General features: G+C 41.3%; 1 protein-coding gene and 1 long non-coding RNA gene across 6 annotated transcripts in view, besides 4 other annotated features; one reads left to right on the top strand and one right to left on the bottom strand.

The window, feature by feature from the left end:
• LOC105375508 (uncharacterized) overlaps positions 1-6,581 on the bottom strand; it is a 119,688-nt gene extending 113,107 nt beyond the window's left edge. For all 5 annotated transcript variants that reach the window (XR_927978.3, XR_927976.3, XR_927977.3 and 2 more), the window contains exons 1-3: positions 6,463-6,581; positions 3,876-3,924; positions 2,855-2,864 (exon numbers count right to left, since the gene is read on the bottom strand). This is a non-coding gene — a long non-coding RNA (uncharacterized LOC105375508). The remainder of the gene's footprint in view (positions 1-2,854; positions 2,865-3,875; positions 3,925-6,462) is intronic.
• On the top strand, positions 6,638-10,148 carry KLF14 (KLF transcription factor 14). The gene has a single exon (NM_138693.4). The coding sequence runs from the start codon at positions 6,812-6,814 to the stop codon at positions 7,781-7,783; it is 972 nt and encodes a 323-aa protein (NP_619638.2). The 5' UTR covers positions 6,638-6,811; the 3' UTR covers positions 7,784-10,148.
• Positions 6,825-6,904: a silencer, noted in NCBI's record as "silent region_18650". NCBI's record gives its function as "represses an Ori minimal core promoter by ATAC-STARR-seq in GM12878 lymphoblastoid cells {active_cell/tissue: GM12878}" and the evidence as "EXISTENCE:reporter gene assay evidence [ECO:0000049][PMID:35858748]".
• Positions 6,975-7,134: a silencer, noted in NCBI's record as "silent region_18649". NCBI's record gives its function as "represses an Ori minimal core promoter by ATAC-STARR-seq in GM12878 lymphoblastoid cells {active_cell/tissue: GM12878}" and the evidence as "EXISTENCE:reporter gene assay evidence [ECO:0000049][PMID:35858748]".
• Positions 6,975-7,567: a biological region, named in NCBI's record as "H3K4me1 hESC enhancer GRCh37_chr7:130418105-130418642".
• Positions 7,030-7,567: an enhancer, noted in NCBI's record as "H3K4me1 hESC enhancer chr7:130418105-130418642 (GRCh37/hg19 assembly coordinates)". NCBI's record gives its function as "activates a minimal SCP1, AML or CMV promoter by ChIP-STARR-seq in naive H9 embryonic stem cells {active_cell/tissue: H9 hESC(naive)}" and the evidence as "EXISTENCE:reporter gene assay evidence [ECO:0000049][PMID:30033119]".

The raw sequence follows: 13,529 nt of genomic DNA, 5'->3' as shown, positions 1-13,529 counted from the left end.
ATGGAGCAAGAGTGAAGTAGAGGAACTAGTTAAGGGAACCCAGTATTATGATAGTTTGATCAAAAGCTGACGTTGATTTGGATTACGGTACTGGCAGGAAAAATGAGAAAAGAGATGGTCAAGACATATTTTGAAAGCAGAACAACCAAACTTGAAGGTTAATTAAATGTTGGGGCGGATGGAGAGGGAAGTGTCAAGAATGACCCCAGTTTCCTGCTTTAAGGAGCAGGAATGGATGAAAGTGCTGTGTACTGAGACAGGGAAGAATACAGTAAGAGTAGATTTGGGGTAGAATTTGACTTTTTAATCTATTGTTTGAAATATCAATGAGACATTCCAGGAAGGCTGGGGAGCTGTCAAGTAGTTAAGACTCTCTGACATCTCTGGAAAAGAGATCTGGGCTAAAGAGTATAAAATTTATAAGTTCTTGGGATACAGGTGTACTTAAACCATGGAAAATGTTTAAAATTACCTAGAGAGAGTGGGTAGAATTGAGAGAAGGAGACCTAGGATAGAGTTCTGCAGAATTTTAAATTTTAGAGATTAGGTAAAGAGGTGGAATGAGTAATTAAGACTTAAACTGTTAAGGAACAGTTAGAAAGATGAAGAAAGCCCAAAAGAATGTAATATCACAGAAGCCAAAAGATGAGAATATTTCAAGGATTGCTCAACTGCTCTGAGAGTTCTAGTTATTTGAGGATTGAATTTAGCAACAAGGGGGTCGATGTTAATTTTTTTCTCCTTTTGAGAAAAGAAAGCTTTGAAAATTAAAGTATGTATAATATAAAATTTCTCACTTCAACTATTTTTAAATGTACAGTTCAGTAGTGTTAAGGACATTTACATTGTGTGGTGCATCAATGTTGATCCTGACAAGAATTTCTGTAGCAAAGTGAGGGCTCGATATTGAAGCAAACTTAATAATCCATGGGGGTAAGGAATTGGTGACAGAATATACTCGGCACTTCAGAAATTTGGCTTTCATGGGCAACCTAACTATGTGGCAGTAGCTAGAAGACAAAGGAGAGTCGAGAGAGAGAGAGGGATATTTTTTAACTGAAGGTATTAATCCATTATTGAATGTTGATTCAAATTATTCTGTACAGAAGAAAAAACAGATGATGTTGGAGAGAGAGAAGGTATGTTATAGATTGTGAATCTTGAGAAAGCAAGAGATAATGGAGCTAGAACTAGAACAGACTAGCTTTTGCCAAAAGGCAGGAAGGAGACTGGCAACAGATGCAAACTGGTGTGCAGTATTTCTAGGAATGTTTAATGTCTGTTTGGGATTAATAATCATAAATGAATAGTAATACTAATCTGTCAGCTTGTATATTCCTATTCATTTATTCTACCATATTTATGTAACACCTACTATGTACATGCCCTGAACTACTTGTGACCAAAAGAATGGACCAGTCAGCTGTTCAAGGCCTTCAGGAACATCTCTTTGATGTTGTTCCTGCAAGCTTCTGAATGGGCTTGGGAGAGATAACATTTTGGTAACATTTACTTCAAGGCCACAGTATACGCTGCATTAAAAAATTACCCTTATTCTAGTTTCCTTTTCAAATAATCCCCAATTATACTTCCAGACCCAGTTCCTGAGAGGTTACACAAGGAGCACTGGTTATAGAATAGTTCAAGTGATACAATGCCAGGGAAATCCGGGGACAGCACCCTTCCAAAAATTTCATATTTAAGAAATCACAGTGGAATTATAAAGTATTTAGCACTGAATGGCAATAAAAGCACTATTTTAAAAACTTGCGGGATACAGATAAAGCAAGGGAAATTTCTCTTTAAGGGAAATTTATAGCCCTTAATTATATATTAGAAAATAAGAAACACTGCTAATGAATTGATAGGTATTTAACTTGAAAAGCACTTAAGGTGCTAAGGAATAATACATTAAACTCAATGAAAATGTAAGTGAGGGATTAATAAAAATAAATATAGAAATTAAACAAATATATACATTTTAAAAGAAACAGATATATGATCAACAAAAGCTGCCTATTTGTAAAGACTACAGACAAACCTCTGTAAGTTTGTCTAAATATACAGACAAATCTTTGTTAAGACAAAAAAGAAAAAATAGAGAATTCACAAATATATGATACAAATAATGAAAAATAGGGTATAACTACAGACACCGTAAAGAATGTTTAAAGAGAATACCATGAACCATATACCAACATTTTAAAGGTTTAAATGTAGTATCTAATTTTTTAGGCAGAAAAAAGTGAATGATCAAAATTGACTGAAGAAATAGAAACCCCAAAGAAACCAACAATCATTAAAGAAATTAAATTGAATTTTCAAAATATGATAGTTTCACAGACGAGACTTACCAAATAGTCAAGGAACAAATCATACCTATCTCATCCAAACCGTCACAGAATATAGAAAAAGAAGGAAATTTCCAAATGCATTTTCCTTCTTGCACAAAGTGCAAGAAAGGAAAGTTTTAAACCAATGTCACTTATGAACATCGATGCTAAAATAAAATACATGAAGCACTGTATTAATAACTAACAGTACATCAAGGCAAAGCAGGGTTTAACTCAGGAATGCAAGGGTAGGTTCACATTAGAAATATCTATCAATGTGACCTGTCACTTTAACACAGCAAAGATAAAACCTGTAATCATCTCAATGTTTTTAGAAAAAGCATTTAATAACATTTCAATATTCATTTCATGGTTTAACAATATTCCTACTTTAAGCATAAATGGGATAAAAGGAAACTGATAAAGGGTTTCCACCAAAGACTTACAACAAATATCATAATTATGACACATGAGAAACATTTTCAATCAGATAAAAATAGGAAAACAATGCTTGCACTCACCCTTAACTATCTGATGTTATATTGAAGGTCCCAGCCCATGCAAAGAGATAAGAAAGGGGAAAATGTATTAGGGGTGTTATTTATAGATAATATTATCATTTACATGAAAACACAAGAGAATCTACAAATAAACTATTTAACTAATAAGTTCAGCATGTTTGCCAGCATTATCTAACACAGTTTTCAGGTTATTCCAAAATCTACAGGATCTCTACCAATGACAGTAGCAGCAATGACCAATTTAAACATTTAATAGAAAAGAGATCTCACTTATAATAGCAGCAAAAGCTGTAAGGTACAATAGGAGTAAGTCTAACAAAGAGGTACAATACTTTTATAAACAAATTATAAAATGTTATTGAAAGACATTTAAAAATCAGAATATTAATGTACTAGTTGGCTCAATTTTATGAAGTTGTCATAGCTCCCCAATTTTAACCTATAAATTTAACTAAGCAAAATACCAAAAGAGTTTTTCAATGCAACTTGACAAACTAATGCTAAAGTTAGTATAGAAGAATAGAAGTCCAAAAATAGCCTATACATTCATGAAATTAATAAAGCAGATTCTACAGGTATCAACATGAGTAGCTCTCAAAATCACATGGAGGGAGAAAAGCAAGTTGCAAAATGATGTGTACATTACCTAACAATTTTTTAAATGAACAAAGAGAGGATATGTCCTTCTGCACATCAAGATTTACAAAGCCATGGTAATTAAGACTGTGGTATTGGCTCAAATTTGGTTTGATTAGTGGAAAAGGACAAACTAGAAACACATCCATGAATACATAGAAATTTAATTTACAATCATGGTGGCATTACATATTAATAGGGACACGAAGGACTGTTCAGTAAATCGGGTTACCACACGCCTTCCATATGGGGGTTGGGGGAAAGGGAGGAGTAAAATTATTGAATTCCTACTTTACACCATTCAAAAAAAATAAGTCCCAGATAGATCAATCTCGTGTGGAAAGCAAAACTTTAAAACATTAAGGAAGAAGACATAAGAGGCTACCTTTATGCATCAGGTATGGAGAGGTTTCTTTAATAATCCACAAATGACACTATAAAGAAAGAGATCAATGAATATGAGTACATTTTAAATTGTCTATAGTACAAAAGACATCAAAAGCAGTTAAAAGACAAGCCACAGACTGAGACAATATATTTAATGTTTACACGCATGAATTCCTACAAATCAGGAGGAAAAAAGATAAAACATACACGATCTACTGAAAAAAATGAATGAAGACTGTGAAAAAACAAATCACAGACTTGGAAACCTCAATAACCAACAAACATATGGGGAAAAAATGCTTAACTTTGCTAGCAGTGAGGGAAATTCAAATAAGACAACAAGATACTGTTTTTTAAAATAATCAAATTGGCAGGAATAATAAAAATCTTAATCTAGAAAGTGTTGAAGATCATGTGAGGGAAACGTGAACTGTCACACACTTCTGATGGGTGTGCAAATTGAAGCATTTGGCAGTCTCTCGCAAAACTGAAAATGTGTGTGGAGCCCGGCAATTCCCCATCTAGGTAGATACATAGAGAAATTCTCACATATGTGCAAAGGAAACATGTACAAGTAGTACCAAAATATTGGCAGCAGTTTAATATTCATCAATAGGGGAATGAATAAACAGGACACATTTGTATGCATGGATCCACACTATAGCAATTAAAATGAATGAATTGGATCTATATTTATCAACACGAAGAGAAAAAATAAAAACATACCATGAATGAAAAAAATAAGTCCAAGAATAATATGCACAGCCTAATACCATGTTTGTACATTTAAAAAAATCATATAAACCAATATTCTGCATTTTATAGGTTCACATCCAGTTAAATTGTAAAACCCAGACTGGAAAGTTACATACCAAATTCATGTTAGTGTTTGCCTTTGGGGAAAAGGGTGGAGAATGGTATTGGGGGCAGTACAAGGGGACCTTCAATTTTATCAGAAATGTTGAATACTTAATAGATCTGAGGGAGATATAACAAAATGTTAACATATTCATTATATGAGACAGGTATATGGGTGCTTGTAATGTTCTCTCTGCATTTTAAATATCTTCACATTTTTTCTAAATAATAAAATTAAAACAGCTAGTAAATTATTCTATCTGATAGATTTTAATGTGTAGATTAACGAAGAGTTAATCGTCTAGAGGAACTTCAGAAAAATTAACTGTTTTGCAATGGAATCGCCTTAAAAATAATAACACTGACAATATTATTTAAAAACTGCTGAAATGAATAAAGTAGATTCTATAGGTGTCAACCTGGATAGCTGTCAAAATCATATTGAGGGAAAGAAGTTGCAAAATGATATGTATACTAGTGAACCATTTACTTAAAAATTTTAATAAATAAGCATGGAGATATACATATATTTACATGTATAATTAGGTAATACGGGTATCAAAACAAATGCAGATTAAATAGCCACTTTATAATACTAATTACCTAGAAAAGTGAAGAGGGAGAAAGGTGAATGGAACTGGGGAGGGAAACAAAGTGACATTCAACTCTATCTGTAATGTTTAATATAAATAAAAACATGAAACAACTATAACAAAAATTTCACATTTGATTACCCTAGGCAGTAAATACATGAACGTATGTTATTCTTGATACATACGTATTAATTTTCAAAAGAAAAAGTACTGAAGAACTACAAATAAAATGCACACAATTCACTCATATAAAAGCTTGTATACATCAAAAACTAAGATATGACTATTTTTAGAAATTATCCTGTTTGTTTTTCTATGTAGTTTTACATTTTTAAAAAGAAAAACGAGGGAAAAAATGAGAGCAATGAAGACACGTAAAAGAAACCGTACATGCATTTGATTATAAAAAAGGCAAACCTCCACAATCACAAAACACCATATGAGCATTCTATATCATGTGCTGCATTTCCTTACATTTAACTTTCGTCAAAAGCAAATTACAAGATAATGCCTAATTGGAAACGTGACTTTCTATTATTAAAATGGTGGGAGTCCATTTTAATGTGTTTATCTCGCCGCTAGACTATAATTTATATCTCAGCGTTTAAATTTGTTTGGATGCCAGTGACAGGTTAATGCAGTTTAAACATGCATTTTTCTTTCGTTGGCTGAATAGTTAAATCGTTACTCAAAGGATTTTAAGTTTCAATTTCAACCGGGAGAGGATTCTTTGCTTTTCCAAGGTTAAAACTGTTTCTGGTTCGAGATGCTATTAATTAATGGCTACGTAGCGGATCTATTTAGGGAACTGCTCCCGGCCCCGGGTTCACAGTTGACCTGCTCAATGAGAAAACTTTTTTTGCTACAGACTTGGGGATATTTGCAATTTAGTCTGAGAGCGGCGAACGGGGAGTGAAATGGAATTCGAGACCACTTCGCTAACAATCGCAATTATGAACCGAAAGACATGTCAGGTATTAGCAATTTTTTTCCTTAAAAAAAAAAAAAACTTTCTGGGACTCCGCGGGACACCCAGCTGGCGACGGACCAGCGGGCGGCGGGCTGCGGGGAGGGGGGGCGAGGCTGCTGCAACCCAGAAGTTCCGACTGGGGAGTTTCGCTCTGTTACCATTACCTGGCTCGCCGGCAGAAGAAAGAACGCGGAGACAAGATAATTTCTGAGGCTGTTAAACATGACTTAGCCGGGGGCCGCGCGTTCCGAGGGGGTGTCCTGCGGGCCGGGGCGGGTCTCTGCCGCCCCCGCGGGCTCCGGTGCGTCAGGGGCGCGTCAGGCGGGGCGGGCTCCGCGCGGGCGGCGGCGGCAGCGGCGGCTGCGGCGGCGGCGGCGGCAGCAGGCGGCAGGCGGCGAGCACCCGGCCTCCTGCTTCTCGCTCCGAGGCTGCGGGACGGACGCTCCCGGGAACTCCGTCGCCCGCGGCCGGCCGCGTTCGGACGGCGCTCGCCGGCGGCCGGGCGGTCCCAGCATGTCGGCCGCCGTGGCGTGCCTGGACTACTTCGCCGCCGAGTGCCTGGTGTCCATGTCCGCGGGCGCCGTGGTTCACCGCCGCCCGCCGGACCCCGAGGGCGCGGGTGGAGCCGCTGGCTCGGAGGTGGGTGCGGCGCCGCCGGAGTCCGCTCTGCCGGGTCCGGGGCCACCGGGGCCCGCGTCGGTCCCCCAGCTCCCGCAGGTCCCCGCCCCCAGCCCCGGCGCGGGCGGCGCCGCGCCCCACCTGCTGGCTGCAAGCGTCTGGGCGGACTTGCGCGGCAGCTCTGGCGAGGGCTCCTGGGAGAACTCGGGGGAAGCTCCACGCGCCTCGTCCGGCTTCTCCGACCCGATCCCGTGCTCCGTCCAGACCCCGTGCTCCGAGCTGGCTCCCGCCTCCGGCGCCGCGGCGGTCTGCGCTCCCGAGAGCTCCTCCGATGCGCCCGCCGTCCCAAGCGCGCCTGCTGCCCCGGGCGCACCAGCAGCCTCTGGTGGGTTCTCTGGAGGGGCCCTAGGGGCAGGCCCCGCCCCCGCCGCGGATCAGGCGCCCCGGAGGAGGTCTGTCACACCTGCTGCCAAGCGCCACCAATGCCCCTTCCCGGGCTGCACCAAAGCCTATTACAAGTCGTCGCACCTCAAGTCCCACCAGCGCACCCACACGGGTGAGCGCCCTTTCTCCTGCGACTGGCTCGACTGCGACAAGAAGTTTACGCGTTCCGACGAGCTGGCCCGCCACTACAGGACGCACACGGGCGAGAAGCGCTTCTCCTGCCCCCTCTGCCCCAAGCAGTTCTCCCGGAGCGACCACCTGACCAAGCATGCTCGCCGCCACCCAACCTATCATCCAGATATGATCGAGTACCGGGGACGTCGTCGAACTCCCCGCATCGACCCGCCACTCACCAGCGAGGTGGAAAGCTCCGCCTCCGGCTCCGGTCCCGGCCCGGCGCCCAGCTTCACCACCTGCCTGTAGGACAGTCATTGCTGTCAGTCTTACCCTCAAGGATGATCCCCCAGGCCGTTGTCCCTGCTTTCTCTCTGCCCATCCTTCTTTCCCAGAGTCATTACACCAAGGCACAGACTGGTTCCTCTGCTCTGAGGGTGGGTCCAGGCAGACATGTGGACTCTGGGGAGGTACTGGGGGCCGGAAAATAGCGGGAATTCTTGCAACGTGTATATCATCCTAAAAGTGGGGGTTGCCTCAAGACAGCCCCCAGGAACTGATAAGAAGGGATGAACTCCCGTACTCTCCAGAGTACTGAAGATTCTCCCCTCCCTGGAACCAGGGATGTGAAACTGGAATTCTCAGATGCCTGAGGAGCTCCCAGTCTCAAAGGACTCTGGTGTCTCACCCATCCACCAGGGCGGACCTTGGAGAGGGTGTCAGGGGTGGCAGTCTTGGAAATGTCCAGGACTGGGATGGTGAGAGGCCTTTGGAAACAGAAATGATTTCTATTTCTGTAAACAGCAATGTTTACTAATTTATTTTTAGCATCTTTTAAATAGGGATCCCAGGTTGATGGGAGGCTTATGCCCTCCAATCCCCCAATTGCCCCAGCTACCTCTGCTAGGAGAGGCCACATAAGCTCCATGTAGATGTGTGGCTGGGAGATACTTCTTGATGTCTGGGGTGTGAGTCTGTTTGCAGGTCCTGTTGCATGATTTGGAACCCTGCGCTTGCGTCGTAGCCCTTCTCCCCATTTGGATTCCTACTTGAGGATGGTAACTTCCTGGCTCACTCTCACGCTGAGATTGGTTAAACAATTTGAAAACTACCGTAAAGGCACCAGCAAGAAAAGGGTGGTCCAGACTAGTTCCCCCTTCACTCAGAGAGAAAACTCAAGCGACCTTAAGTTTGGGCGGGGCCCGAAACAAGACCGCTCATAACCATTGATAACTTTCAGGGAAATAGAGGCGTGTGGACACAGCTGCCCCACCTTATGTAATCTCAGGAGTGGTAGATTCTGTTAATTTCCTAATGGCTAACTAGGGGGTTATTTCCCTCAGAGTCTGCAGATTTTCGTTTCTGAAACAGGTGAGTTGGTGGGTGGGAGAGGGAAGGGTAACAGACTGGTTTCTTCCAAGGAGCTGGCTGCCTTGGATTTGAGGAAGGAGTAGCAAGGTGATAGCTATTATGAAATAGGAGGAACTTTCTCCTCTGACCATATAGTCCCTCCAAGTTATATCCTCAGGGCCCCTTTCCCGATAAGAAGGAATCAGACATCAACAGTATTTGTTTTTTCTATATGTGTCTCTGCTGCTGTGGATGAAATCACTGACCACTCTGCTTGTGTATGTATGAATGTGTATATATGTGACCCTTTCTTTAGAGATGAGGCTGAAAGGCATTTCCTGCCCTGGGAGATCCCCTCTGGCCCCCTCCTGAATATTTTGCAATAGTCCATCACTGACACTTGGGGAAGATGCTGTAATCTCATAGGACCCTAACGGGCATCTGGTTAAACAAATTGCTTTCCCCTATTTTGCAGATGAGGATACTGAAGACTAGATAAGCTCAAAGTCATATGCTAGGTTGCTGGGAAGAGCCATGACTAGAACTTAGGTGTCTGGCCTGCTAAGTGACTCTTTCCCTCACACTTGATTACCCCCATCTCTTCCTCCTCTCTGGGATCTTAGTCCCTCCCTCGCTCCCTATTCTGTATTGCTTCTGTGTACCTTCACATGTTGATTGAACCCTTTGCCTATTGTGTTTGACCCAAAAGCCCTTTTCTTAACTGGTTACGTTCCCTCCCTTCACACCATGTGGACATAAAGTGAGAATGACTTTTTGGCATCCTAGGAGAGACTTTCTCTTTGGACCTGCTAGGTTAATTTTCAGTGTGAATTCCCTTCTTTTTCTGGTCCTGGGCATTCCAGCATCCTCAAGAGAGTGAATGATACAAACATGACATTGGGACTGTACTAAGTGCTCCTACACTAAGTGAGGGAGGGGTCCTTAGAAAGGACCAAAAGAGTATGGCCTATGACCCTGAAGAGGTTCAGTATTTCCTAATGAAGGCTAAGCAGGGAAGGTGGGGCTGTTGAGTTACATGTGGGAGGAGAAGGCCCCCCACTGTGAAAGTGATTTTTGGTAGTGGAAGGAGTCTTCTCTTTGCTCTGTTTGTCTCTTCAGCTAGGGCTGGATAGCTAGGGCATTGGGGGTCCTATTGAAGACTACTGTTTCCTCTTTGTCCTTTTCAGTTGAAGATCTGCCATTGGGTAAGTGGACCAAGGAAGCCAACAGGAATTTCCACTAACCATTCTGAAATTGGTTTCAAGAAAGCTTGGCTTTTCCAATCACCTGTTGATAAATAACTTTTGATTCTCAAGCTCCCAAATAGTGTCCTTATTTGGGTTCTTGTACACTAGGGACTTTTATCTGGAGATGGCCTCTGACAATCTCAATGTGACATGTCTTTCATTGGTAAAACTGACTCCTCCCAGGTCTTGAGGTGGTGGGGAAGGAGATACTCAGCACATACATGGGAGTAGCCAGATAAAGGTTTTTAGGTAGGTCTTTCTTAGTCTGAGTATTGTTGTTACCTTTTTCACTCCAGCAACCAGAGAGTTCTCAAGGAGTAGTTAGTGAAATGCCATGAAAAAGGCTTCCTAATTTTATTGGTGTTTCTTTGGTTTCTTTTTGTTAATCAGATGTACTCACTCAATGAGTGAGTACATATGGGGGTTGGTTGGGGTCAGACTGAACCTCTGAGCCATTGCCCCATCCCTGCCATCCACAGTTCGGATGTAGGAATGACCTAGTAGCAGAAACTATTCATACACCTCTTCCTGAAATATGGGTTGGAGGCTGGGAATGAGTTCTAGATCAGACCTTGGTTGTGAGGGAGTTGAATCCCCTGCTTCTGCTGGGAGGATGTGAAGAATACAGGCTTTGTCCCCACCCATGGAGGCAAGAATATGTCATTTGTCCCTATTTCCCTGTTCTTCTCCAAGCAGGGAACCATTCTGGAATATCATTTTTGACCCCCATCTCTACCTCTACACACTTCTCCCCAAAGGAGAAATGATTGTATTCTCTGATGGAGACATGGGGGGGGGGGGTCATTGTACACGCACACTCTTAAGTTCTCTCTTTTGCACCTCCCTGCCTGCAGTGTGCATGCACTTCACTCAGATCCTGCTTCCATAGGGTAAACACACCTGCTGAGCCCCAGACCTGCCTTCTAGAGGCAGGTTTGAAGAACACCTCTCTCTCTTTCTACTTTTGGGGCAGCTCTGTTCCTTGCTGCTATCCAGGTAAGTATTTCCACTGTATGTTTTTCTTTGGGTAGTCCAGATCCAAGACCAGGAATTAGGAGGAGTAGGGGAGACAGTGTATTAGAAAGCTCAGTTTTGACCATGATACAGCTTAATCAGCAAAGTAACAGTTGACCCTTGAGCAACATGAGTTTGAACTGCACAAGTCCACTTATGTGCAGATTTTTTTCAACCAAACACAGTTCAAAAATAGAGTATTTGTGGGATGCAGAGCCTGCTCATATGCTGTTCTCTACACATATACAAAAAGTCACATGCGAATAGAGTATGAAACTCTTCATATACATGGGTTTCACAGGGCCAGTTGGGCCTGGGTATGCGTGGATTTTGGTATACACAGGGATCCTGGAACCAATCCCCAGTGTATACTGAGGGATGACTGTACTGATATTTTGACCCTCATTAGTCTGATTCTTGTATTTATTATTCATTTGGCTGATAACATAGAGGGGAAAGAGGTAGAATTAATTTTCTCCCTTAAGCCCCACCACATTGAGATGTGCCTTGCCTGTTAAATCTTGAGAAATAGGCACTTCACCTGGAATTAGGGAATCAAAATAAGATGTGTGGAGATTGGATGTCTGTAATGCCAGAGTACAGGGCTTTAATGCTTTAATGATCTTCAGCCTTTCAGTTCTTTAGTCATTTCAAATCTTAGCAGCCTATGATCGCAAGTGTCCTCACACAAGCCACTAATTTATTAGAGTCACTGAGCATAGACTTTGGCAAAAGTGAGCTGTACAGAACACTGTGGCTGATTTTGATTCACATAGATGTAACTGAGACAGGATCACTGCAGAAAGGGAAGGCGCTATTCAATAGATCAATTTGTGCTGCCTTTATGCTCAGCCAGAATTGCAGTTGAGGATTCTAAGGTCAGTGGCATAAGTTCCATGTATATGTAAGAGCACAGGTTAGGGACATTCTAGCTCTTAAATTATTCTGGGAAGTATCAGGTGGTATCAGATCAGTTTCCCCATTATCTGGATTTGAAATGCACCCTTTAATAGGGCTAAGGAGAGGCCAATGGGAGGCTCCAAATCCTTTAATTCATATGGGATATCCAGAATCACCTTCTATTTATATTCCAAGTTGGTGCCAGATGTGTTTACTATATAAGCCCTGACAGTGGAATTTCAAGGCCTCAGCTGAATTTCTTGTGTGTTCAACCACAGAGAAATGGTGGATTTTATCACAAATACATAAAGAGGAATGGAAGTTTTTGTTATATAGGGGTTTGAGGAAGAGAAAAGCATTGTATACCATAATCCCAAAGGCAGGAAAAGTATTAAAAAGGCTTTTGCCTGAATCCTTCTCTCCCTAGGAATCAGGGTCTATTCAGGAAATAAAATGGGAGCCATATTTGTTTCAAATATATATATTTAAATCTTGAAATCAAAATAGAAGCAGTACAAGGGTGAAAACTGAAGAAAGGATGATGGTTTGATTAAGCTGAAAGAAGAGAAGGATTTATTTAGAAGAAAGGTTGTGTTTTCAGAGGACAGTATTGATGATGTGAAAAGAAAAATAAGAAAGACCAGTAGCCAACAATCTTAAACATGGAATTATAAAGGAGAGTGGCATTTTAATTATTAGTAGGTTAGAGGAGGTGATTAGAACCCTAAGAGATCTAACAAAAGAATGGACGCAAGCTTTACATGAATGTCTGTCTTCACTCAGGATCTCAGGCCCAAGAAAATATTGAGAGATACCTGTTTAAATTTGCAGAGAAAGCACTGGGAAATCATCCCTATCACTGAGATAGGTATAGTAGATGATTACAGAAAATGTAAACAATACTTCCAAGTATTTTTAGCTTAGTTTCAGTGATATTACCATTGTCAGTGGGAATATAGATGGTTGCTTGGAGAACGTACAGAAAGAAGTAAGTCTTTAGAAAGTGTGGGAAGATGAGACACATGAAATATATCAAAGTTATTGATCAAATTAATAGAAATTAGGAAGCAAAAAGGCATAACCGTCTCAATAGTTTCATTGTTAAAAATCAACAATGATTTGTGATTTAATTTAAAAATACCTTAGTAAACTAGTAACAAAAGATAATTTCTTAAGTTGATAAAAGGTATCTGCCAAAAGCCTACTATAAAAATCAAACTTAAATGTTGAAAGATTGCAAGCATTCCTATCGGCCACATGGTAAGATACAAAGAAAGTCTAGACAAACTTCAGGCAGGTAATCACATAAAAATACAACAAAAATATCATTAAAAATCCATAAATTGAGAAATCCGTAAAAGGAAGCCTCTACGTAAGTCAGACAGAAGGGGAAATTGCAGAAATTTGGAGCTGAATGAAAACAAAAAGCACTATATAGCAAGCAAAAAACACTAGGGGAGGAAATGTAATTTATAGCCTTAAATATTTTATTCAAAAAAGAGAAAGGTTGAATGAAGGTGAATGAACTAAGCTTTCAACTCCAG

This window comes from Homo sapiens, chromosome 7, assembly GCF_000001405.40.
Source record: "Homo sapiens chromosome 7, GRCh38.p14 Primary Assembly".
Lineage (NCBI taxonomy): Eukaryota > Metazoa > Chordata > Mammalia > Primates > Hominidae > Homo > Homo sapiens.
Note: the sequence above shows the minus strand (reverse complement) of the source record. Positions and strands in the feature narration are given on the sequence as shown.

Excerpts from the sequence above, each read along its gene's own strand:
- KLF14 (NM_138693.4), top strand. The coding sequence starts at position 6,812 with ATGTCGGCCGCCGTGGCGTGCCTGGACTACTTCGCCGCCGAGTGCCTG.